We start from the raw sequence: 27,060 nt of genomic DNA, 5'->3' as shown, positions 1-27,060 counted from the left end.
AAATTTACATGGATATTTGAAGGACCTACAATAGCCAACCCAATTCTGAAGAAGAACAAAGCTGGAAGACTTACACTACCAGATACCAAGATTATCTAAGATAAAGTAATTCTTGAAACAATGTATGAGGCAGCCTCTGGAAATTTTATCCCAGGCCCTAAGTACCCATTCAGGGGGCTCAAACATGAGCTTGGCTGGTCCAGCCTGCCTGGCTTCACCCCACAATCTACCCTGGAAGCACAGCACAAGACCAGGACCCCTGAGAGTTTCACGGCCCAGCTCGGTACCTGAGATACCTGAATAATTCTTGAATTACAAAGGTTAATCACCCTACTGCCACTATTGCAGCTGACGCTCATCTGCAGGCACCACCTCCTAGCTGGGAAGTCAACCTGCACCACCCATTACAACATCTATTGATACAACTGCATAGTGCCTTGGAAGAAAGCAAGTTTTGCACGACCTCTGCTGCCACCATCATCCACCCCAGCTAGGCAGGAGGCCTTGAGCCCAATCACCCACCCCGTACATTACTACTGTCACTGGCATTTGAGAAAGCCACCATACTAAGACTACTTTATAACCAAGGCTATCATACAGTGTCTATGTCACTGAATGCACCCTGAAGCAAAGCCAAATGACCCTACTCAACATACATAATAGATACATCCTCAAGGGAAAGAAAGTCCTGCCCCAACAAAAGTAAACTAAAAAATAATAAGAAGCAACTGTTATCCCAGATACAAATGAATCAGCACAGTAATATTGGAAATATGAAAAAAAAAAGGTGCTATGACACCCCCAGAGAAACACAGTAATTCTCTAGCAATGGATCCTAACTAAAAAACAAATCTTCAAAATGCCAGATAAAGAATTCAAAACACTGATTTAGAGAAGCTATCAGGGGCTGGATACAGTGGCTCACACCTGTAATCCTAGCACTTTAGGAAGCCAAGGTGGATGGATCACTTGAGGCCAGGAGTTCAAGACCTGCCTGGCCAACAAGGTGAAACCGCATCTCTACTAAAAAAATACAAAAATTAGCCAGGCATGGTAACGCACGCTTGTAATCCCAGCTACTCAGGAGGCTGAGGCACAAGAATCACTTGAACCCAGGAGGTGGAGGCTGCAGTGAGCCGAGATCGTGCCACTGCACTCTAGCCTGGGTGACAGGGTAAAACTCTGTCTCAGAAAAAAAAAAAAAGAAGAAGCTGTCAGGGGCAGGGCACAGTGACTCATGCCTGCAATCCCAATAGTTTAGGAAGCCAAGGCAAGAGGAAGGAGGATCACTTAAGGCCAGGAGTTCAAGACTAGCCTGGGCAACACAGTATAACCCTCCATCTCTACAAAAAATAAAAAAATAAGCTAGGTGTGGTGGTATGTGCCTGAATTTGTAGCTACTTAGGACAGTGAGGCAGAGGACTGCTTGGGCTTACAATGAGCTATGACTGCATCACTGCACTCCAGACAAGGCAACAGAGCGAGACCCTGTTTCAAAATAAAATTAAATTAAAAGAAAAAAAGTAGCTCAACAAGATACAAGAGAAATCTGAAAACTAATACAAAGAAGTCAGAAAATCAGTTCAGGAAATGAATGAGAAATTTACCAAAGAGATAGGTATTTTAAAAAGAAAACCAAACAGAACTCCTGGAAATAAAAAATTCATTGAAGGAATTATAAAATACATTTGAAAGCTTCAACAACAGACTAGACCAAGCAGAAGAAAGAACCTCAGAACTTTAAGATAGGTTTTTTCAATTAATCCAGTCAGACAAAAAAAAAAAAGAAAAAAGAATTTTAAAAAATGAGTAGAGCCTCTGAAAAGTAAGGGATTACATAAGACATTGGAACCTATGAATCATAGGTATTCCTAGAGGAGAAGAAAAAGCAAAAATTTCAGAAAACCTATTTGAGAAAATAATTGAGAAAACCTTCCCTAGTCTAGCAAAGGATCTAGACATCCAGATACAAGACGCTCAACAAACTCCAGCCAAATACATTGCGAGAAGGATCTCACCATGGCATCTAGTCATCAGGCTGTCTAAGGTCAATGTGAAGGGAAAATCCCTAAATACAGTAAAAGTGTCTAGTCACTTATACAGGAAACTTCATCAAACTAACAGTGGACTTCTCAGCAGAAACTTCAGAAGCCAGAAGAGACGGGGATTCTATTTTCAAAGTGCTTAAAGAAAATGGTCAAACTCGAATTTTGTATCCTGCTAGTGTAAGCTTCACAAATGAAGGAGAAATAAAGTGTTTCCCAGATAAGCAAATGAGGGAATTCATCACCACTTGATTGGTCCTATGAGAAATATTTAAAGAAGTTCTAAACATGGGAACAAAAGGTGATACTCTATCATAAAAACACATGAAACTCACAAGTTTTATGAAACAATTATACAAATAAGGAAAAGAAAGAAATAAAAGGGCAACATGACAGAACTCCAGAAGACCACAAAGCGGGAACAAAAAACAAACAAAGAATCTACAAAGCTGGCTGGTTGCGGTGGTTCACGCCTGTAATCCCAGCACTTTGGGAGGCCAAGGCGGGAGGATCACCTGAGGTCAGGAGTTCGAGACCAGCCTGGCCAACGTGACAAAATCCCGTCTGTACTAAAAATACAAAAATTAGCCAGGCATGGTGGCATGCACCTGTAATTCCAGCTACTTGGGAGGCTGAAGCAAGGGAATCGCTTGAACTTGGGAGGTGGAGGTTGTAGTGAGCCAAGATCGCGCCATTGCACTCCAGACTGGGTGACAGAGCAAGACTCAAGACTCTTGCTTAAAAGAAAAAAAAAAATCTACAAAGCAACTAGATAGCAATTAACATTATGACTGGAACAAAACCTCATGCATCAGTATTAACCTTGAATGCACCACTTCAAAGATATAAATTGGTGCAATGGATTAAAAAACAACAACTACATGCTGCTTACAAGAAATTTGCCTTACTGTTAAAGACACACAGACTGAAGGTAAAGGGGTGGAAAAATGTTCCATGCAAAAGGAAACCAAAAGCAAGCAAGAGTAACTATACTTATATTAGATAAAACAGACTTTAAATCAACAATAGTTTTTTTTTTTTTAAAGGCCAGTATATAATGACATAGGGATCAATTCAACAAGAAGATATAACAATCCTAAGTATATACTCCCAAAACTGGAGTACCAGATTAATAAAACAAATACTACTAGGCCTAAGAAAAGAGACAGATAGCAATACAAAATGTGGGACTTCAACACTGAGACAGACAAAGTCAACAAAGAAACACTGAACTTAAAACCAAATGGACCTAACAGACATTTACAGAACATTCTACCCAACAACCACAAAAGATACATTTTTCTCATTAGCACATGGGACATTCTCCAAGACAGACCAAACGTCAGGCCACAAAACAAGTCTCAATAAATTTAAAAAAAAATCAAAATCATATCAAGTATCTTCACACAATGGAATAAAACTAAAAATCAATCTGAAGAGAAACTCTCAAAAATATACAAACACATGTAAATTAAACAACATGCTCCTGGACAACCTTTGGGTCAATGACAAAATTAAGAGGGAAATTAAATTTTTTGAGGCTGGGCATGATAGCTCATGCTTGTGTCTATTATTCCACACTCTATGTTCATATGTCCACATTATTTGGCTTCCACTTATAAATGAGAATATTCAGTATTTGAATTTCTGAGTTATTGTCACAGCCTTCAGTTTCATCCATATTGCTGCAAAAGGCATGATTCCATTCTTTTTATACCAGATAAAACAGACTTTTTATATCAGATAAAACGAACATATGTGTGCAGGTATCTTTTTGACATAATGAATTCTTTTCCTCTGGGTATATACCCAGTAGTGGGATTGCTGGATCAAATGACGGTTCTATTTTTTGTTCTTTGAGAACTCTCCATATGTTTTCCATAGAGGTGGTACTAATTTACATTTCTCCCAGCACTATATAAGCACTCCCTTTTCTCCACATCCTCACCAACATCTGTTACTTTTGACTTTCTAAAAATAGCCATTTTGACTGGTATAAGATGGTATCTCATAGATTTTTCATTTCTCTGATGATTAGTGATATTGAGCATTTTTTCAAATGCTTCCTGGCCACTTGTATGTCTTCTTTTGAAAAATGTCTTTCATCTCCTTTGCCTACTTTTTAATGGGGTTATTTGGGGTTCTTTTGTTGTTGTTGAGTTGCTTGAGTTCCTTGTAGATTCTGGGTATTGGTCTTTTGCATATGTATTTTGCAAATATTTTTGCTTATTCTGCAAGCTGTCTGTTTACTCTGTTGTTTCTTTTGCTGTATAAAAAGCTTTTTAGTTTAATTAAGTCTCATCTGTCTACTTTTGGTTTTGTTGCTTTTGCTTCTGAGGTCTTAGTCATGAACTCTTTGTTTATGGCAACGTCTAGAAGAATTTTTTCTAGATTTTCTTCTAGTATGTTTTAGTTTTGGATTTTACATTTAAGTCTTTAATCTATCTTGAGTTGACTTTTTTTTTTTTTTTTTTGAGACAGAGTCTCGCTGCGATACCCCTACACTGGAGTGCAATGGCGCGATCTCGGCTCACTGCACCATCCGCCTCCTGGGTTCAAGTGATTCTCCTGTCTCAGCCTCCCGAGTAGCTGGGACTATAGGCATGCACCAGCACGCCCAGCTAATTTTTGTATTTTTAGTAGAGACGGGGTTTCACCATTTTGGCCAGGTTGGTCTCAGACTCCTGACCTCAAGTGATCCACCCACCTCAGCCTCCCAAAGTGCTGAGATTACAGGTGTGAGCCACCTAGCCTAACCTCGAGTTGATTTTTATATAAAATAAGAGAGAGAGTGGTTCAGTTTCATTCTTTCTGCAGATGGCTATCCAATTTTCTCAGCACCATTTACTGAATAGGTTGTCCTTTCCCAGTGTACGTTTTTGTCTACTTTGCCAAAGATCAGTTGGCTGTAGATTTGTGGCTTTATTTCTAGTTTCTGCATTCTGTTCCATTGATCTATGTGTCTATTTTTATACCAGTACCATGCTGTTTTGGTTACTATAGCTTTGTTTCCCAATGTTGGAGGAGGGACCTACTGGGAGATGTTTGGGTCACAGGGGCAGATCCCTGATAAATGGCTTGGTGCCTTCCCCATGGTAATGAGTTCACATGACAGCTGGTTGTTAAAAGGTCCCTGGCTCTTTCCTTGCTCCCTCTCTCACCATGTGACATGCCTGCTCTCCCATTGTCCTCCATCATGATTATAAGCTACCTAAGGTCTCACCTTATAAGCTAGCACTGTGCCTGTTATAGAGCCTGCAGAACTCTGACCCAAACAAATCTCTTTTCTTTATAAATTACCCAGCCTCAAGTATTCCTTTGTAGCACAGCAAAATGGAATAACACAACATTTACATATTTCACAAATAACTGTTAAATTTGTATTAATTTTGTCTTTTTTTTCTAACCAATTTTTCAGGTGACTTCTATGAAAATAATCAGAAACTAGTATCTACCCAGGTTCTTTCTGTTTAATGTAACTTCCTCAAATACTATGTTCTTCAAAAATAAAGTAATTGAGAATGCAGTGTATTATGAGAAACTTTATAAGGACTGATTATAATATAAATCCTTCTTTGCTTAGGATAATTTTTGAGGAAAAATCTTGCTAGATATAAATTGAATATATGATACATGGGTACTTAAACAAATGAACATTTACCCTGTTTAGAAACACTGAAGTGTGCAAAATTAAATACATGGGACATTTGTGTCTTTCTTGGCAAAAGGCAGGCAAAAAGCAGAATAAAACTGTAGTCATGTAATCCAACTAATCTCTCAACCCAACAAATACCCTAGAAAGGAAAACGGCAATTCAGAAAATACTAACAACATGCAGAAAAACAGAGGCAGCATTCTTTTAAAGAAACAATTCTCATACTTTATAGGTAAGTGACTGAAACCATAAATGTTCCTCCGCTAACACAGATCGATCAATTCTAAATCTCACCTGCTTTTTAAACTCCCTGCTATTATTTAGTCTCTTTAACTGCCAGTTAAGACCCCACAAATACAAAGACAACTGTTCACAGATCAGTGCTTCTGGGCCTATTCCAGAAAGTTTGTTTGATACACTGGAGGTTTCTGCCTGTTTTGAAGCTTGTGGCCTAAAATTACTTTTCTTCCTGGCAGTAACTCCAAGTTCAGCCTTATTATTTTTTTTCTGTCTCTCGTGCTTGAATTAGGAAAGCTTTATTTTTAACATTAAAAATAACTCCCACACTGTATTACTTGAAGTTTCTAAAACAACTGTCTTATTTTATGCTCTTAATTTTAATTAATTCATTTCTTAATGAGAAAATTTTCATTACTAAGCTCCATTTGAACTTGGTGCTATGAAAACCTAACATAGACTCTTTTGTAGAAATTATTCTTTTGGTTTGGTTGAGGTCATAAACAATTCAGGACACCTAATAATCATTCTACTAAGGTCTAGAGAATGGCTGTTATTTACTCAAGGGTATCTCATAATATTAGAGCCAACTTGGAGTCCATACCTATGCCTCTAGTAAAGACTACACCCAAAATCGTCTCCAAGAGACAAGTATTTATTCTAATTATTCATCTAGATGCTCTTGGTAATATCTTAACTAAGCAAATCTGCTTAACTATATTATCTTTTAGGAGATGTCCTGTGATCACTTTTAAAAACCACACAAATAAATGTTACCATGAAAAACTGTAGTTCTCACACAGTTCACAAACTGAACAATTCCTTGAGTATTTGTGGGTTATTTTAAAATAACTAGTATAATTAAAGATATTATTAGAAGTATGCTACATGGATGTATGTATAAACATTAAGCAATGTATAACTATACAAAAGTTTCCTTTGACATTGAATTCCTCTGAATTTATTAGAAGTTCTAAAATATATCATCTAAATCTTAAACACAATTTTCAAAATGTGTTACCTAATAAACTCATTTATTTCATCCTCTACCTTCTGTTATATCAGACAAGAATAAAAAGACCTAGGCTCAGTTGCTTGAGATCACAGCACAAAGGAAGTGTTGTTAAGAATAAAAAGGGGAAATTCAGGAGCATCTAGATCTAGGTCTTAACTTTTATAGACTTCAGTTCTCCACTGTCACTGTCATCTACACAAGTGATTTCCACCCTTGATAGGTACTCCCTCACCTAGGACATTTTTTTTAAATTCAAATTTCTATAAATGGTAGTCTGAGCATGCGTTTTTACTTCCTGTCTGAATAGTATTAAAATGACAATTAAGAAATAAAAAATATATAAACCCACAAGAACAAAAATAATGACAAAGAGGACATCAGCTGACAAGAGATGCTGACAAAATTTTGGGAAACAAAAAGTACATGGACAAAAAGTAACCAACACTTAACAGGCTAGAGAAAGCAGAAACCTCAACATTTGTGGGGCTAGAGATAGAGAACAACAAGTTGATGTGGGTCCTAAAAGTCTACAAAAGCTAAAGAATTCAAGGTAGCCCTGAAAGCATGGATGAAGAGTGGGACAAAAGGCAAAAGTTTTCTAGATTCTCCCAAGGCAGAGTAAAAATAAAAAATAAAAATAAAGCCAGGCGCAGTGGCTCACACCTGTAATCCCAGCACTTTGGCAGGCTAAGGTGGGCAGATCACCTGAGGTTAGCAGTTGAAGACCAGCCTGGCCAACATGGTGAAACCCTGTCTCTACTAAAAATACAAAAATTAGCCGGGCGTGGTGGCATCCGTCTACAGTACCAGCTACTGGGGAGGCTGAGGCAGGAGAATCACTTGAACCTCGGAGACGGAGGTTGCAGTGAGCCAAGATTGTGCCACCGCAGTCCAGCCTGGACGACAGAGCGAGACTCCATCTCAAAAAGTAAAATAAAATAAAAATAATAAAAATAAAGCACAAGTTTTAAAGTCTGGATAAAATACAATTAGAACTCACTACCTCTACTCCTACTCCACATAATGAAGGCACTGCCTCCCTCCAATCCAACAGAAGATAGGAGCTTCGCTCTCTGGAGAAAATGAACCAGTGAGGTTCCAGGCGTGGGGAGGCAGGGGTGAAGCACTGTACTGGCCACAGAAGGATTCTGTGAAAGCTGACTCTGATGCTACTGCTGTAAAATGCACTGTGTTCAGCGACTGATGGAAAAACAAGAAAGACATTTGGCTGTGTCTGTTCAACTGGGTCCACCATAAATTATGGTTCTTTAATCACAGTCATCCAACTCCTTTCTGGAAACAGCTATGGAAATGATAGAAAAATCTAATAAATCTCTTTACTATGAAAGAAATTGTCAATTCCCTACAACTCATGTTTGTTAAAGCAAGTTTTGGCAAACTGCATAACAGCATGATATGATGAACTGAGACCCCTTACAGTTTTGGGGCAAGAAATTAAAACATTTTATTTTATTTACTTATTTATTTTTTTGAGATGGAGTCTCGCTCCGTTGCCCAGATGGAGTGCAGTGGGCATGACCTTTGCTCACTGCAACCTCTGACTTTTGGGCTCAAGCGATTCTCCTGCCTCAACCTCCAGAGTAGCGGGGACTACAGGCGCCCAACACCACGCCTGGCTAATTTTTGTATTTTTAGTAGAGACGGGGTTTCACCGTGTTGGCTAGGCTGGTCTCAAACTCCTGACCTCAAGTCATCTGCCTGCCTCAACCTTCCAAAGTGCTGGGATCAAAGGCATGAGCCACTGTGCCTGGCCAGTTAAAACATTTTAAGTAGATACCAAAGGAACATCCACATTTGATTAATTCCAGTAATAGAACACCTTCACAATAATTTTTTAAAGAATAATTTAAATTACATTTAGTTGTTTATCCATAAAAGAAAATGTGTGAAAAATTATTACACATGGAGCTATTCCAGAGTACAAAGGTCTGTCCTTGCAGTACCTGAACAGCATGGATTGTCTTATGTTGTAAAAACTTTTTATGTTATAAATTATTTAAAGACTTAACTGTCTGGGTCAGAAAGAAATAAGATAACACCAGAACCCATACATAACGTACACCATCATTATACATCTGGAGAAAGTTACTGTGATGGTTAATAGTGAGTTTCAACTTTGGATTGAAGGATGCAAAGTATTGTTCCAGTGTGTCTGTGAGGATATAGTCAAAGGAGATTAACATTTGAGTCAGCGGACTAGGAGAGGCAGACCCACCCTCAATCTGAGTGGGCACCATCTAATCAGCTTCCAGCATGGCTAGAATAAAGCAGAGAAAAGAAGCTGGAAGGATCAGACTTGCTGAATCTTCTGGCCTTCAGCTTTCTCCCGTGCTGGATGCTTCTTGCCCTCGAATATTGGACTCGAAGTTCTTCAACTTTTGGACTCTTGAACGTACGCCAGTGGTTTGCTGGGGGCTCTTGGGGCTTCGGCCACAGACTGAAGGCTGTACTGTCGGCTTCCCTACTTTTGAGATTTTGGAACTTGGACTGGCTTCCTTGCTCCTCGGCCTGCAGATGGCCTATTGTGGGACTTCACCATGTGATTGTGTGAGTTAATACTCCTTAAACTCTTCTTCATATACACATCTATCCTATTAGTCTTGTCCCTCTAGTGAACCCTAATACAGTTCCTATATCCTCAAAGCATTCATATTATTATTCCAGTTAAAACTGTGCTATTTGTAAAAGACAATCCTCTGGATGAAATATGTTGAAACATTAAGGTATTACTTACTGGATGCATTTAACAGTGGAGTCATGTGTGCCACTGCTCCAAGGACTACCCAACACCTTCCCCTCCATACCCAACCTTCTTCTGTCACTCACTCCTAGCCACCAGGCCTGAGAATGCCAGAACAAGGTCACCAACCTTCTCTCTCAGTCACATCAGAACGGTCCAACTTGGCTTCCTTATGCTGTCCTTCTGCCACCTTCACGGCCACAGCTCGGCAAATGGCCCCAAGTTTTCTATCCAGAGAACGAACCCCTGCCTCTCTGGTATACCTGTCATCAAACAAAAATATTTTATTTTTGACTATATACCACTTAAAAAAATAGAGAGGTAATGTGATTAACATTTTTGGTAAAACAGTGTACATTTAAAAGTTCATTACCCTTTCTTGAGTACTAACTTTTCCACACTTAAAACTCCTCATTATTGTTATTTCTTCAATACTTTGATCTATTTTCAGCTACAACAATTTCCTTTATACAGATTATCTTGAATTATAATCCTACACTTAAAAATGAACCCTAGTTCTAGTTCAATTTACATTGCCAAAGTAAACTTGGCAGCATATAAAAAACCATTTACTCCTCGGTAATTTGTTGAAGAGTTTTCTTAAACAAAATTTGTCAATTTAGGAAAATTCTAGATAAATTCATTGTATTTGAAATACTACTGAAAGAATAAGAGAAATTGTGCTCTTTGTGGAACTAAAACAAAAACAAATCTGAGACAGAAATCTGGTTTTCACTAGGCACTTTGCTAACCACCTTTCTTCAGTGTATTTTCATTGTGAAGATTTCTAAAGGAAGAAGGTATGCTAAGTGATGACAGCACTGACTTTGAGGACTTTGTGAAAAAGATGCTATGTGTGGTTTAAGCAGAGCTGCTTTAAACACATGTACATTAGAATCAAACTCCGTTAAGTCATTCCACAGACCATTATATAGTGAAACCACTTTTGGCCACTCAGCTTTGGATGGACCTGAATGGACAGGATCAGGTGGAGAATGCAGTTTTATCTGAAGAATTGGATTTGACAAAGCCATACATTTGATTAAGTCAGACATACACTGTAGACTTTAGGAAAGCAGATTTTAAAAGTTCTGAGAAAAGACAGATAAAAAGCTCTTAGCTAAACACTCTAATACTCATTTCAGTCAAAGGTATAGAAGGATATAAAGCCTATATTATGCAACTACGTATAATTTCAATAAGGGAGAAAACAGGGAGGCATCTTAACAACTTCTACATTTGGGCTTTAAAAAATTCAGCTTTATAAATACAAAATGGGATATGCCAAGCTTAGCGAAATTCACTGAAAAAGGGAAGAGAATAATCTTTAAAAAGCTAAGAATCTAGAGATACAGTCATAAAATAATATAGTCAGAATAAGAAAAGCATGGGCTTCCTATACCATGAACTGTTTAGACTCTATCTGAAACACTGTGTTCAATTCTGGGTGTTTAATTTTAAAAGACACATTGATATACAGGATTCTTTCAGAAGAAGACTAATCAGGAGGGTGAGAAGTCTTGAAACTACATCAAGAGGAATGGTACAGAGGAGAGGAATGGTTAGCTTGAAGAAGAGAACACTTAGTGTGCAGCACCTGATAGTATTTTATCTTAATGTCAGAAGGGCTGTACAAGGAGGAATTACACTTAGATTCCAGGTGCTCCTATAAGGCAGAAGAAGAAAATTATAGAAAAGTGAATAGAAAGAGTATCTTTGTAACAATTATCACTTGAGCTCAGGAGTTCCAGGCCAGCCTGGCCAAGATGGTGAGAACCCCATCTCTATTTTTTTTTTTTTGAGACGGAGTCTCACTCTGTTGCCCAGGCTGGAGTGCAGTGGCACGATCTCAACTCACCGCAACCTCCACCTCCCTGGTTCAAGCAATTCCCCTGCCTCAGCCTCCCGAGTAGCTGGGATTACAGGCACACACCACCACGCCCGGCATGCACCTGTGGTCCCAGCTACTTGGGAGCTGAGATGGCAAGATGGCTTGAGCCTAGGAGGCAGAGGCTGCAGTGAGCCAAGATCATGCCACTGCACTCCAGCCTGAGTAACAGCATGAAAACCTGTCTTAAAAAATAAATAAATAAATAAAAAGAATATCTTTGTTACAGTTAGAATTACCCATGAAAAGGTAGTTATTCGCTAGAATTAAGCATACTGGGACTGGAAGTATTCAAGCAGGTGAGTTATACTTGGAGATAAGAAAGACTAGAACATTAGGGTCTATGACTGTGACTTATCACAAAAGATGAAAAACTCAAATATTGATACTCTATGTCCTAAGTTTGGTAACTCACTAAATATCCAAAAACGTGCCTGGAATAGTACATACTTGTGCTGTTTTTAAAAACAATATCAAAACTAACAAAACTGCTCCAGATATTTCCTTATGTCCACAGCTTTTAAGATCTGATATTTTGAGTTAACAAGTATACATAAAAAAAGAAACAGTTCTCTAGGTAACAACTGGGAAATATAAATAATGATCACTCTTCAGAATCATTATTATTCAGATAAACTCTGGATTTTTCTCCATCCCTCATATTTTACAGATGGGGAAGCTATCAAAAATGTTAAATGACTTATTGAAAGTTACCCAAAGGCATCATGGGTGTTATCTGGAATAATGATATTGTTGGAAGACTCAGACATATAAGTCACTTAATTTATTTCTCCTGGCATTATCTACACCATAAATCACAAGACAAATTAAGAAAAGGAACCCCCAGGTAAGACTTAGTCTTACTGCTTTGTATATAAATCTAAATAGATCCATAAGAAGGCATAGATCAAAAGACAGTCTGGCCAAACTCTAAGTCAAAGTTCAAAATAGAGAGATACTTCAAATCTCTTAAAAACAGTAGTTACTAGAAAAGGGCCGCAAGAGGAGAGCTTGGCAGCCTGACATGACTTGCTGGATGATGCAATGGATCTGTAATACTGAGCTAGGAAAACTGTAAGAGGCTGTGGTGGATATAAATTCTCAACAGAGTATATTTTCCATTCAAACAGGGAATCTGTAAATTAGACTAAGCAATACTCTATTCAGATAATTTACACACTGCTTGCTACAGGCTTAAGCATTTGGTAGTAAACTTGGGAAGGCACCTTCTCTATTGTTCCAGTGTTAATTCTGAAGATCAAAATTCTAAGGATTTTAAAAATCTCTCAGCCAAAGAGAAGAAAAGAAAAGTGAGTAACTTAAATCAGATTATCTGAAAGTAGCATATCACCTCTTAAGAGAATTCAACAACTTTCAAGATCCTGGGCATAAAAAGTGTCTCTATATTTGCCATGTATTTGGTTTTTAAATGATCAAATTAACCCCTTATATTGCTATTGTGGCAAAGCATAAATTTCAGCTTTAGCTATAACAATATTCCAAATGGTTTCTCTGTAAACTTCTGCCTAGTGTAGAGAACGGTGTAAATCAATAGTTATGATAACACTTGCTGGAAGTTGTTGAAGAAAGAGAAATGGATGCTATGGGATGCCAATAAACTAATCTCCTTTTCAGGAGACTGTGGCTTATCTCAAAAGATGAAAAACTCAAATATTGATACTCTATGTCCTGTTTGGTAACTCAGTAAATACTCAAAAGTTGCCTGGAGTTAATGAAGCCTCAGGATGGCTAACTAACCTGGTGATGATGTCAAGAGTGGTGACCTGGGGTATCTGAATCTGCTGTGGAGTCAGCCCATGTTGTTCCAGCTGCTTGGGGATCAAGTGCCTATGGGCAATCTCTATCTTCTCCTCCTGTGTATAACCTGGAAAAGAAGAGATCTTGTTTTGTAATTATTTACATGGCTCCCATAATGCCATGCTTTGTTTTTTGTTTTTTTTTTTAGAGACAGAGTCTTGCTCTGTCGCCCAGGCTGCAGTGCAGTGGCGTGATCTCGGCTCACTACAACCTCCACCTCTCAGGTTCAAGTGATTCTCCTGCCTCACCCTCCCGAGCAGCTGGGATTACAGGCATGCACAACCACGCTGGCTGATTTTTGTATTTTCAGTAGACAGGGCTTTGCCAAGTTGGCCAGGCTGGTCTCAAACTCCTGGCCTCAAGTGATCCACCAGCCTCAGCCTCCCAAAGTGCTGAGATTATAGGCATGAGTCACTGCTCCCAGCCAGTGCCATGCTTTTTTAATGAATCAAATGTAGATTAAATGGATCTTAGATTTAGAACAAATTTAAGTATTATTTCAAATGAGACTATAATTACAATGAAGAAATTTATTCTGGCCAGGCACGTTAGCTCACACCTGTAATCCTAGCACTTTGGGAGGCTGAGGCGGGCGGATCACTTGAACTTAAGAGTTTGAGACCAGCCTGGGCAACATGGCGAAACCCTGTCTCTACTAAAAACACAAAAAATTAGCTGAGCATGGTTGCGCATGTCTGTAGTCCTGGTTACTCTGGAGGCTGAGGCACGAGAATTGCTTCAGCTGGGGAGGTGGAGGTTGCAATGAGTTGAGATTGCACCACTGCACTCCAGCCTGGGCAACAGAGACTGCCTCCAAAAAAAAAAAGAAAAAGAAATTTGATCTAAGTCAATAATTGTTAAAATTTCCAACGTTTTCACAAACAAAACAAGCATTTACTAAGCACAGTGCTTGAAAGTTTTCTGATTAAATGATATATTTCCCAAAGAGGAAAACACCTCAAATCTTAGAGACAATTATCTCTTTATCCTCAAATCCTCTGAAATTTCAAATAGAAGAATAAATGCATCTTTTTAGCCTAATTTGATCTATACTTGAAACACACACACACACACACACACACACACACACACACACACACACCTCAATTAAATAAGCAGTGGGTTCCAAGGGAAGGGCTCTAAAGATACTGTTTCCAGAACTATGACTATAAAATAAATTGTAGCAGCAAAAGAAAACCTAAGATGTCCATATAAAAGGTTTTTTCCTCCACATGATGGTATATATATATATGTGTGTGTGTGTGTGTATGTATTTATATATGTGTGCATATGTATTTATGTATGTATATATGTATTTTTTCTATATATAGTATATTTAGAACACATAATGTTCTTATTTAATAGCCTGAATAAATATAGATTTCCTTTGTCTCTAAATCCCGTAAGACAAAATTCCAACTAATGTCCCTTTCCATTTAACAAGCAAAAATTAAAAATATGAATTGATAAGGCACCTTTTGAATGGAAAGAGGTTAGTAAACACCAGGAAAGCTAGAAGATCGGACAGCTAAATCTGCCAAAGGAAGAAGGTGGCATCATATGCTCCCCTCTGCAGCAGCTGTCCTGATTCTTTCACTTTACTTTAGTGTATCTAATGAATTTTCTGCCATAACTTGGAGTTTCCAGGGAATTCATTACTTATTTACTTTAGACTTTAAATACACACAATTAACTTTTTACTCTACCATATTTTAAAACTAAATACAGGAACCTGCAATGCTCACAGATAATTAAGAAATCCAGTTATATTGGGAGGCCAAGGTGGGTGGATCATGAGGTCAAGACATTGAGACCTTCCTGGCCAACATGGTGAAATCCCATCTCTACTAAAAATACAAAAATTAGCTGGGCGTGGTGGTGCACGCCTGTAGTCCCAGCTACTTGTGAGGCTGAGGCAAGAGAATTGTTTGAACCTGGGACATAGAGGTTGCAGTGAGCTGAGATCGTGCCACTGCACTCCAGCCTGGTGACAGAGTGAGACTCCATCTCAAAAAAAAAACAAACAGAAATCCAATTATAATTCACTTAGTAGTAAAAATATATTTCAGATTAATATGAAAAATACATTTAGATTACATTTAGAATCTAAAGACATTTAGGGCCGAGTGTGGCGGTTCACGCCTGTAATCCCAGCACTTTGGAGGCTGAGGCGGGTGAATCACCTAAGGTCAGGAGTTCAAGACCAGCCTGGCCAATATGGCGAAACCCTGTCCCTACTAACAATGCAAAAATTAGCCAGGTGTGATGGTGCACACCTGTAGTCCCAGCTACTCAGGAGGCTGAGGCACAAGAATCGCTTGAACCAGGAGGCAGAGGTTGCAGTGAGCCAAGATTGTGCCACTGCATTCCAGCCTGGGTGACAGAGTGAGACTCCATCTCAAAAAAAGAAAAAATAAGTAAAAGACATTTAGGCTGGACATGGTGGCTCACGTCTGTAATCCTTATACTTTTGGAGGCCAAGGCAGGCAGATCACTTGAGGCCAGGAGTTCGAGGCCAGACTGGCCAACATGGTCTCTACTAAAAATACAAAAATTACCTGGGCGTGGTCACGAGTGCCTGTAATCTCAGCTACTTGGGAGGCTGACACACGAGACTCACTTGAACTTCGGAGGCGGAGGCTGCAGTGAGCCGAGATCGTGCCACTGCACTCCAGCCTGGGCAACAAGCTAGACTCTGTCTCTAAATAATTAAATAAATAAAGACATTTAGATTCTACTCTACATTAAAAAAAAACTCAGTGATATTTGATCTCTTCCAGGGAAAAACAATTCTGAGCAATTAAAATAAGGTGAAAATGCTATAACTTATCTAGTGTTAGTAACTGAAGGAATACATTTTGCACGCTCCAGTGACAGGGAAGACATTTAAAAAATTTAACTATTTGACAGATTCAAGAGGAATTTAAAAGCGGCATGCACTTTAATATAAAAGTGAGGCCAGATTTTATGAGAAAGTTCAGTTACTCTTTTTTTTTTTTTTTTTTTGAAATGGAGTTTCACTCTGTCACCCAGGCTGGAGTGCAGTGGCGTGAGGCTCACTGCAACCTCCCCTTCCCAGGTTCAAGGGATTCTCCCGCCTCAGCCTCCCGAGTAGGTGGGACTACAGGCGCCCGCCACCATGCCAGGCTAATTTTTGTATTTTTATTGAGATGGTGTTTCACCACGTTGGCCAGGCTGGTCTCGAATTCCTGACCTCAAGTGATCCACCTGCCTCAGCCTCCCAAAGTGCTGGGATGACAGGTGTGAGCCACCACACACAGCCTGCCATTTTAGAAATTATACTAAAGAAGAATGTCTTATTTGTCATAAAATTATCATTCTTTCATGCTAATTAAATCTGAAATTGTTGTTGTCAACGTTTGCTGTTTTGCTCTTCCAGACTTTGAAGCTACATAGAAACTGATTTATATACATTCCTCAGAACTTCTGAAGATTGTATGTTGGCAAATGAACTTCTTTTAGTCAAAACTCCATAGCATAACTAATTTTAAAGTTATGGTCAGAAAGGCAAGATGTATCATAATGATTTAAGAGTCAGGTACCTGGAACCTGAATGATCTCCATTCTGTCCAACAAGGCAGCTGGAATGGTAGCAGTGGTGTTGGCAGTAGCTATAAAAAGAACTTGAGAAAGGTCAAAGGCCACATTTAGATAATGATCTGTGAAGTTATGGTTTTGTTCAGGATCCAACACCTAGGGGAGAACAAAAAACATTTTAAAAACTTTAGTAGTGCCAACAGAAGGCTGTATATAAGTGAAAACACACATGATGTACTGGCAAGGTTGGTATTTCTGCTCAGAAGAATTTAAGAAACAGACAAAACTAACATCTGAGCATTATTATTTGCATTCTCTACATTCTACATACTTTTTAAAAAATAAAATACGTTCAGTGTCAAAATTTCTGAAAATGTAATAGCACAAAGCAGCAGAAATTACAGTTTCAAGCTTTGTTCAAAAATCTATTTATTAATGACTCATTGTTTGGCCATCATAAGTTACCAGTCCTGCAGAACCAGTTTCCATCTTGGTAACACACCCTATCTAAACTGCTATGGGAATATAAAGCAAATGTGTAAAGTATTTTGAAATTCTCAAAGAACCAGTAAATAAGAACCCATATAATCCTCCTCAAACATTTTCAGAAAGTCTGGTATAAATTATTTAACTGAAAGGAGAATTCCAAATAAGAGTAACCTTTGCTATGAGTTAAATAAGAGTAAAAATTACTATGCTACTATATTCTGATACAGCAAAAAATTCACTATTTAAAAATGGCTTACTACAAAACATTGCTGCTTATAATAAGCAAAACATCAATAACTCTTTTTTTCTTGAGACAGAGTCTTACTCTGTTGCCCAGGTTGGAGTGCAGTGGCACAATCTCAGCTCACTGCAACCTCCGCCTCCCGGGTTCCAGCGATTCTCCTGCCTCAGCCTCCTGAGTAGCTGGGACTACAGGTGTGCGCCACCATGCCTGGCTAACTTTTGTATTTTTAGTAGAGATGGGGTTTCACCATGTTGGCCAGGCTGGTCTCAAATTCTTGACCTCAAGTGATCCGCCTGCCTCAGTCTCCCAAAGTACTGGGATTACAATAGCTCTTAAAAATATTTGAATTAGATACATTAGATAATTTATCAGTCAACTTGGATTCTTAAAATGTGCAACTGTACATTAAAGAGCTTCAAGTCACAGGCACTTGTTGCTAAGGGGCTGGTGCAGAACTTTCATAAGGCACCAACAGCTTCTACATGTTCCAAACCTTAAACATATTAACACTCTCACTTACGCCCAATTACTATAAATAGGGTTGCCATACATATTCAAAAAGGCAATAAAATGACTAATATACTCACCAACCACAATTTAACTATATAAGCAGTTTTTCCTACCTTCTGATTCTTTCTGAAGTTTTACTTATTTTCAAAACTATCCAAAGTTAGTTTTTTGTTTTGTTTTGTTTTGTTTTGTTTGAGACAGAGTCTCATTTTGTCACCAAGGTTGAGGTGCAGTGGCATGGTCTCAGCTCACTACAATCTTTGCCTCCTGAGTAGCTGGGATTACAGGTGCGTACCACCCCACCTGGCTAATTTTTGCAATTTTAGTAGAGATGGGGTTTCACCATGTTGGCCAGATTGGTCTCAAACTCCTGGCCTCAAGCAATCCACCTGCCTTGGCCTCCCAAAGTGCAGGGATTACAGACGTGCGCTACCACGCCCAGCCCCAAGCTAGTCTTAATTCTAGGCCTCATACATAATTCTGAATTTTGTTAAACATTAATTATTACTGGAAACTCTATCTAGAATTCCCAGAAAGCTCTAATTTCACATTTTCACAAGACTTAATAATGTTTAATATCATTAAAAAACAAGTACTTTCAAGTAATCAAGGAAAACTAATTATGTTCAGTATTGAATTGGTTAAGAGTGGTCTTACTATCTACTAATCATCTAAAAACTGTTCACAGGCCGGGCACGGTGGCTCACACCTGTAATCCAAGTACTTTGGGAGGCCGAAGCAGGCAGATCAGTTGAGGTCAGGTGTTTGAGACCAGCCTAGCCAACATGGTGAAACTCTGTCTCTACTAAAAAAAAATACAAAAATTAGCCTGGTATGGTGGCACATGCCTGTAGCTCCAGCTACTCGGGAGGCTGAGGCATGAGAATTGCTTGAACTTTGGAGGCAGAAGTTGCCGTGGGCTGAGATCACGCCACTGCACTCCAGCGTGGGCGACAGAGTGAAAATCCAACACAAACTAACAAACAAATGAACAAACAAACTGTTTAGGTACGGAAAATGTTTATGTATGGAAAATAGTTAAAACTATCATCTAGTGACAAAAACGCTCTTCTTTTGACGCAAACTTGAGTCAGGCTCCTCTGAGTCCTCTGCTCAACTAGGCCAATGTCAGCCTTCCCTCTGTCTTTGTAAAATCCAATTTGAGCAAGAATCCTGCTAAGTCAGGTTAGCAAAAATGACCCATACCCATACGTATCTGTTCTCACTTCTAACCCAGTATCTTTTCACCCTGGCCTCCCTTCAGCAAGAGTTCTGTTGTGTCCTTCTAGTGAGAATCCCCCGTAACCCCAATTCTTCCTCTTAGAATGTTTCCCTCTACTGATTCCCCATTCACTCTCCTCCTGTCACTGCAAAACCCCATTGCAGTGTTTCTTATACGTAGTCTCCCACCTTGAATAAAGTAATCCTTACCACCTTTAATAAGCGTCATGAGTAATTTTTTAACACTAGCTAAGGAAAAAAATCTATTCTTTTTTTTTTTTGAGACAGTCTCGTTCTTTCGCCCAGGCTAGAGTGCAGTGGCGCGATCTCGGCTCACTGCAAGCTCCGCCTCCCGGGCTCACGCCATTCTCCTGCCTCAGCCTCCCGAGTAGCTGGGACTACAGGCGCCCGCCACCATGCACGGCTACTTTTTTGTATTTTTAGTAGAGATGGGGTTTCACCATGTTAGCCAGGATGGTCTCGATCTCCTGACCTCGTGATCTGCCCACCTCGGCCTCCCAAAGTGCTGGGATTACAGGCATGAGCCACCATGCCTGGCCGGAAAAAATTCTATTCTTTAATGGCTCTAAGCATATGTAATTCATATATGCTGGATATGTTTTAGAAATGGCTGTCAGACTTGAACAAGTAATTTTTTTCTCTTAAAATTTTAAGACACTAGCGTTTTTAAAAAGTAGGAAAATTAATAAAGCAATGTTTCTGAATTATGAAGGAGGTTTTTAAAACAGTGTGACAGAATACCTAGATTATAAGGAGAAAAAATTAGTGATGCTTGTTAAAAGAAAAACTCTAGATAAATTAACAGTTTAATTGAGCAAAGAACAAGTCTCAAATTGGGCAGCTCCCAGAAACAGAATAGGTTCAGAGAAACTCTGGCATATGGTTTGATAATATTTATGGACAGAAAAAGGAAAGCGACATGCAGAAAACAAAGAGTGTACAGAAACAGCGGGATTGCTTACAGCTTGGTGTTTGCTTTATTTAAAGTTTGTTAACAGCTGACTTCCTGTGACTTGCTGAAAATCTGTGATTGGTGTTAAGAATAGTGTGTTTACACAGCTAGTTAGGCTGCAGTTTACTTTGTAAGGGGAAACCTTTAGGCCAAACTTAAAATATTAATATGTAAGGAGGCAGACTTAGGCTAAATTTGTGCCCAATTTGCCTGCCTTCCTCTTTTACTCAGGAAGAGTGTGAAAGGAAAGTAAATCTCAGGACCCCCAAATCACTAAGCAAAAGGGAAGAGACAAGCTGGGAACTGCGTCACACAAACCTGCCTCCCATTTTGTTTCCAAATAAGATAGCTACAAAGACAAAAAAAGCTACATATCTCCCTCACAATCCCCCCACTGAGAAATTCCTTGTGGGCCCCAAGATCTTTAACCTGTAACAGTTCTGTTGAATTTCACCCCAACCATGTAAATTGATAGCTTATTCTTTACACATACAGGACAAAGGACAGAACTCAAAGTCATCCCTCTGCTCACCTGAGACAAATGCATATCTGATGGCTTCCTGTACGCTATATTTATTTTATCTTATGTAGAAATGCAGATTCACTAAGCTAGATGAATGCGTCAGTGACTATTCCTCTGCTCCCCTCTCACAGGTGAATGGCTGATCAAAGACTCAAAAGAATGCAACCGTTTGTCTCTTGTCTACTCATACCTTTTAAAATTTCTTCCTCTTTCCCCAATATCTGCCCATTCCCCTTTAAATACTGAAGCCCTCACAATCATCTCTGGAGAACGTTGCCAAAATAAACTTCTAAACTGGTTGAGACCTGTCTCAGATACTTTCTGGTTTTCAAAAGCATAAAAAGACATATAGAATTTAAACAGCATCAGAAATACTGATCAATATTCTGGCAGAAAATAATTTCTGGTAATCACTACTCAGATGAAGCTCCGAGGCAAACTGGTGAGTCCATGGAAGGACGAAAATTACAATTAAGAGCTTTGTAGCTATCAAACCTCATCTTCTTACCCTAACTTCAGAGCAGGGATTCTACTGCCCACATCCAGGGCCACTTTCAAAAATAATTAGGGCTGTTTCTCCTTTATTCTCCCCAACTAAAAGATTTTCTGTATCAATCCTAGGACTATAATTCCTACCTACAAAGTATGACTGGGAATGGAAATAGCTGTGATATGACGCATTATTCCTAGGAATGTGAAGTCACAATGGGATGAACCGTGGGAGGAATGTACACTGAGAATTATTCTTCAATAATAATTTCTGACAAGAGAAGAACTATAGATGTCTGTAGGCAATCCAGGAATAGATTACATAGAGTTCATTACACAAGACTAGGTAACTGTCATCTTTAGGTGTGATATAGTATGATTATGCTTTTTAAAAGTGTATATCTTTTGTCGATAGCTACTGAAACATTTATGAAAAGATGATGTCTGGAATCTGCTTCAAAATAATCAGAGGTTGGGTAGGGGAGAATGGGAAGCAATAGATGAAACAAGATATTAAAGCTGGGTGATGAGTCCACAGAATTCATTATACTATCTTCTCTGCTTTTGCTATGGTTGAAATTTTCCACAACAGAAAATAAAGATAAAATAACATAACTAAAATCAGCTCTGAAAGCCACACACAATTAATACTATTATGATACTGTAAAATATATATTTGGCCTTCATCTCTTTGTTTCCTGACATGCAACTCCTAAAATCCTTGGAATCACCAAAGTGATAAGTATCATTTTGTATGTTAGTGATTGACTGGTGGCTGGCAGTCCCTCCACAGCTTCAGGATGTGGGCTGGTCACAGGAAAGACCAAGGCATGATTAGAGGGCTGAGGACTTGTCAGTTCCCCAGCCCAATCTCTTGGGAGGGGAGAAGAGCTAAGAGTTGAGTTGATCACCAATGGCCAGTGATTTAATCAATCAGGCCTATGTGACAAGGCCTCCATTAAAAACCCGAAAGGACTGAGGTCAGGAAGCTTCCAGGAAGGTGAATTTGAGCACACCCAGGTGCAAGAAGACTGGTGGACCCTGACTTCACTGGGATGGAAGCTCCTGTGCTGTTTGTTTGTATTCTTTAAAATATTCTTTTAATAAACCAGTAAATGCAAGTAAATTGTTTCCCTGAGTTCTGTGAGCTACTCTAGCAAATTAAGCAAACCTGAGGAGGGGGGCTTGTGGGTACTCCAATTTATAACTGGTTGGTCACACGTTCTGGAAGTCAACTCACGACTGGCATCTGAAGGGGGAGGCAGTCTTGTGGGACTCAGTGCTCAACCCGTAGGATCTGATACACTTTGTCAGAATTGAATTAGAGGACACCCAGCTGTGGTCGGTTGCTGAAGAACTGCTTGCTTGGCATATGGAGAAAAAACCCGTGCATTTGGTCAGAGGTGTTCTGTGTTGTGAGAGTGCAGTAGGAGAAACTGAGTTTACTTTTCCTCTATATCCTCAACTATGGAAATTAAATCTGTGATAAAGACAAACTTGAGAAAAGTGTTCAGGACATAGAAGAAAAAGGGCTTTAGAGACATGTAGGGGATAAATACGGGAAAAATTAAGAGATACAATTCATAACTGGTTAATATAACTAAAGAAGAGGTCTCAGTAAATTAAAATAGGGATTAAAGAAACGAAAATATTCTAGAAGACCTTGACACTATAGATTGAAAAGATTTAGATTCCTCCTCCTGTGCAATAAAAATGAGAATGTCATTAGAATAACACCTACAGAATTTTCAAGCAAAATTATCACTAGTTTAAAATATTTTACAATCTTGAATACATCAAATATATGTAATATATATAAGATATGATGCATAATAACAAAATGAACACCTGTGAACCTACTACCCATTTGTGAAGACATTTGTTTATCTATTTAGACCAGTGGTCACAAAAGTGGAAAATGACCCACCAAAGTGCAAGTAGAAAATATTAGTATTTGTATTTATCTTTTTTATTTATAAATACCAGAAAAAAATAGCTTGTAAATATTTAATATCCAAAATGGAATTGATGTCTTCACTTAGAAGAAGTTCCATAAGGTCGAAGGCTGCCTGTGGTGTCCTCACTTATCTGCCTTAACTATAATTACAGCACATTGCTGTCCATGTGTGCTGTGAAAAGAAAATATATTTGGCCCCCAAAATCACCAGACTAGAGGGAAAAATCAAGCTGGGAACGCTTAGGGCAAACCTGCCTCCCATTCTATTCAAAGTCACCCCTCTGCTCACTGAGGTAAACCTGATTGCCCCCTTTGGAAAGGCTAATCAGAAACTCAAAAGAACACAAGGGTTTGTCTCTTATCTACCTGTGACCTGGAAGCCCTCTCCAGAGAGCTGTCCTGCCTTTCCAGACCAAACCAATGTTCACCTTACATATGCTGATTGACGTCTCATGCTTCCCTAAAATGTATAAAATCAAGCTGTGCTCTGACCACCTTGGGCACGTGTCGTCAGGACCTCCTGAGGCTGTGTCATGGGCGCGCGTCCTCAACCTTGGCCAAATATACTTCCTAAATTAACTGAGACCTGTCTCAAATTTTCCGGGTTCACAGAGCCTAATATTACAAATGGGTTGAGTGGTTTAAAAAGATTCCTGCAAAGTATCATTAAAAAGGGTATAGGCAAAGGTATGAACCACAAGAAAATAACAGAGTTGACACTTTTATTTATATAATAAGCTAGGATAGACATATTATGAAGTAAAAACAATTATCTAATTAGAACACAGTGCTTTCATTGAAAATATAATTACCTTTTAAAACTGATTTCGTTTTACATAAAGTACATGATATGGGCACACTGGTACATATATATTATGTATCTATTATATATGTCCTTTGTTATGGACTGAATTGTGCCCCCTCAAAATTGACAGAATCCCTAACCCCCTCCGCTCTGTCTCAAGGGCAGTCAGGGTGAAGACTGTATTTGGAGACAGGGTGTTTAAGAAGGTAATTAAGGTTAAATGAAGGTAAGAGTGGGCCCCTAGTCTAATACAATTGGTACCCTTATAAGAGGAAAGAGGAGACCCCAGGGATGCATGCACACAGGTCTCCCGAGGACACAGCCACAAGTCGGTTGTCTGTAAGCCAAGGAGAGAGGCCTTAGGAGAAATCAAACCTATAAACACCTTGGTCTTGGAATTCTAGCCTCCAAAACCATAAGGAAATAAATTTCTGTTTGGTCTTCAAAGCTACCCAGTCTGTGGTATTTTGTTATGGCAGTCTTAAGAAATACATTCTAATACATTCTGACTGGGCGCGGTGGCTCATGCCTGTAATACCAGCACTTTGGGAGGCCGAGGCGGATGGATCACGAGGTCAGGAGTTCGAGACCAGCCTAACCAACATGGTGAAAGCCCATCTCTACTAAAGATACAAAAAATTAGTCAGGCGTGGTGGCACGTGCCTGTAATCTCAGCTACTCAGGAGACTGAGGCAGGAGAATCGCTTGAACCTGGGAGGCAGAGGTTGCAGTGAGCCAAGATTGCACTATTGCACTCCAGCCTGGGTGACAGGGCAAGACTCCGTCTCAAAAAAAAAAAAAAAAAAAAAGAAGAAGACTAATACATTCTTATTTTATTTACATATATATTACTACTGGTGCAGACAACAAAGAAGCCTTCTCAAATATAGAAGAGATTCAAAATACAACTCACACACAAATCTTTGAATGAAGTAACCTGAAGATATATTTCATCTGAACAAGTGATAAACCAAAATACAAGTATCAGAAGCATGCAGTGAAATCATTCAAGCACAGAATCAAAATGAAATGGGGGAGGAAGCACTTCTATTATATAATGGTAGAGTAAGAAACTCTGAAAATCTGCTCCTCCAGAAAAGCAATGAGAGCACTAGCAAAAATTGTCAAAATCAACTTTTTCAGAATGCTACATACTAACTTGCAACAATTTGAGGAGTGCTTATTCAAGAAAAACAGCTGAATCTCAATAAACAGAACGAGCTTTGTGATATTTTAACTTGCTTTACACTCATCCCTTTCTCTCAAGTTCATGGTAGCAAAATCAACAGCCTCATAACCCCAGTAGCTGTGAAAACCAGTAGCCTAGCAATCCTGTTAGGGGGTAGAAAAGGATTACAATCCTTCAAAAGCCCCATCCCCAGAGAACTGTCCCTGTTTGACTCTGGCAGTTCCTTAGAAGAGCTCCATATCCTTATTTGACTTAACTCAGAGAACACTCTGTGAGAACAGTTTTATCCTTAGGACATTTGCCAAAAACAACCAGTGGCAACTGTTTTAGCACTGCAGCTGCCTGAGGCAATGAAACTAGTTGGGACTAACAAGAGGCTGACCAAAAAACTTAAATGGAAAAACTGGGAAATGAGATATTCATGGGGACTTTGAAAAGCCTTGACATATGCCTGAGAATCCAAAATTTCATGTGAATGTGCAGGCTCTAAGTATATCCAGGAAAGACCTGAGAAGGCCCTATAAGCTCATCTTTGGCAGACACTGAGGCTCTGCAAAAGCAGGAAGTGAAGGCTAAGGCAGAGTTGTAAACCATCTGCCAAAGTGTGAAAGGCCCACTTCAATACACACATAAGAGCCCCTTGGGCAAGGAGTGGGAGAGCTACTGTCCAGGTACTTAAGGAAATCTCTGTCCGGTCACTAGCTGACCACTAAACAAACTGAGCAACTTCAGTGGTCACACATTAATGAATAAAACAGACTTTACAGAATGAAACCAGAAAGTCACTAAACAAACAGCAACAACAACAGCACAAACAAAAAACCCTTAAGGTTATATTATTCAATTATATATCTGACTGTATTTAATATAAATATAACACTCTAAATATTCAGTTTCAACAAAAAAAATTATGAGACACACACAAAGAAATACAAAAGTACGGCCCTAAAGAGTAAAAAAAAAAAAGAGAAGTCAGCTGGGTTCAGTGGCTCATGCCTGTAATCCCAGTACTCTGGGAGGCCAAGGTGAGCAAATTGCTTGAGCTCAGGAGTTCGAGACCAGCCTGGGCAACATGGCGAAACCCTGTCTCTACAAAAAATTGGCCAGGCATGCTGGTGTGTGCCTGTAGTCCCAGCTACTCGGGAGGCTGAGGTGGGTGGGTCACTTGAGCCTGGGTAAGGTCAAGGCTGCCATGAGCCATGAGTGCGCCACTGCACTCCAGTCTGGGTGACAGAGCGAGACCCTGTCTCAAAAAAGAAAAAGAGAAGTCAATGGAAACCATCCCTAAGGAAGACATGTTGGATTTATTAGATAAAGATTACAAATCAGCGGCCAGGCACGGTGGCTCACGACTGTAATCTCAGCACTTTGGGAGGCCAAGGCGGGCAGATCACAAGGTCAGGAGATCGAGACCATCCTGGCTAACATGGTGAAACCCCATCTCTACTAAAAATACAAAAAATTAGCCAGACCTGGTGGCAGGCACCTGTAGTCCCAGCTACTTGGGAGGCTGAGGCGGGAGAATGGTGTGAACCTGGGAGGCGGAGCTTGCAGTGAGCCAAGATCCCGCCACTGCACTCCAGCCTGGGCAACATGGTGAGACTCCGTCTCAAAAAAAAAAAAAAAAAGATTACAAATCAGCTACTATAAATATGCTTAAAAAACTAATGCCCCAACATTGAT

The 27,060-nt window shown here is 39.3% G+C and overlaps 1 protein-coding gene across 7 annotated transcripts in view, besides 1 other annotated feature; it reads right to left on the bottom strand.

Annotated features, from left to right (window-relative positions):
* The window catches only part of LONP2 (lon peptidase 2, peroxisomal), a 118,704-nt gene that overhangs the window by 49,856 nt on the left and 41,788 nt on the right, over window positions 1-27,060 (bottom strand). For all 7 annotated transcript variants that reach the window (NM_001348078.2, XM_047434738.1, NM_031490.5 and 4 more), the window contains 3 exons: window positions 16,983-17,133; window positions 13,360-13,486; window positions 9,843-9,976 (listed from right to left, as the gene is read on the bottom strand). In NM_001348078.2, the coding sequence (NP_001335007.1) occupies window positions 9,843-9,976; window positions 13,360-13,486; window positions 16,983-17,133 (412 nt within the window). The remainder of the gene's footprint in view (window positions 1-9,842; window positions 9,977-13,359; window positions 13,487-16,982; window positions 17,134-27,060) is intronic.
* Window positions 12,516-12,810: an enhancer, noted in NCBI's record as "tiled region #13528; HepG2 Activating non-DNase unmatched - State 15:Elon, and K562 Activating DNase matched - State 14:Gen5'". NCBI's record gives its function as "activates a minimal TATA promoter and a strong SV40 promoter by Sharpr-MPRA in HepG2 and K562 cells {active_cell/tissue: HepG2 | K562}" and the evidence as "EXISTENCE:reporter gene assay evidence [ECO:0000049][PMID:27701403]".

This window comes from Homo sapiens, chromosome 16 (assembly GCF_000001405.40).
Source record: "Homo sapiens chromosome 16, GRCh38.p14 Primary Assembly".
NCBI classification, from domain to species: domain Eukaryota; kingdom Metazoa; phylum Chordata; class Mammalia; order Primates; family Hominidae; genus Homo; species Homo sapiens.
This window is presented reverse-complemented; position numbering and strand designations above follow the sequence as displayed.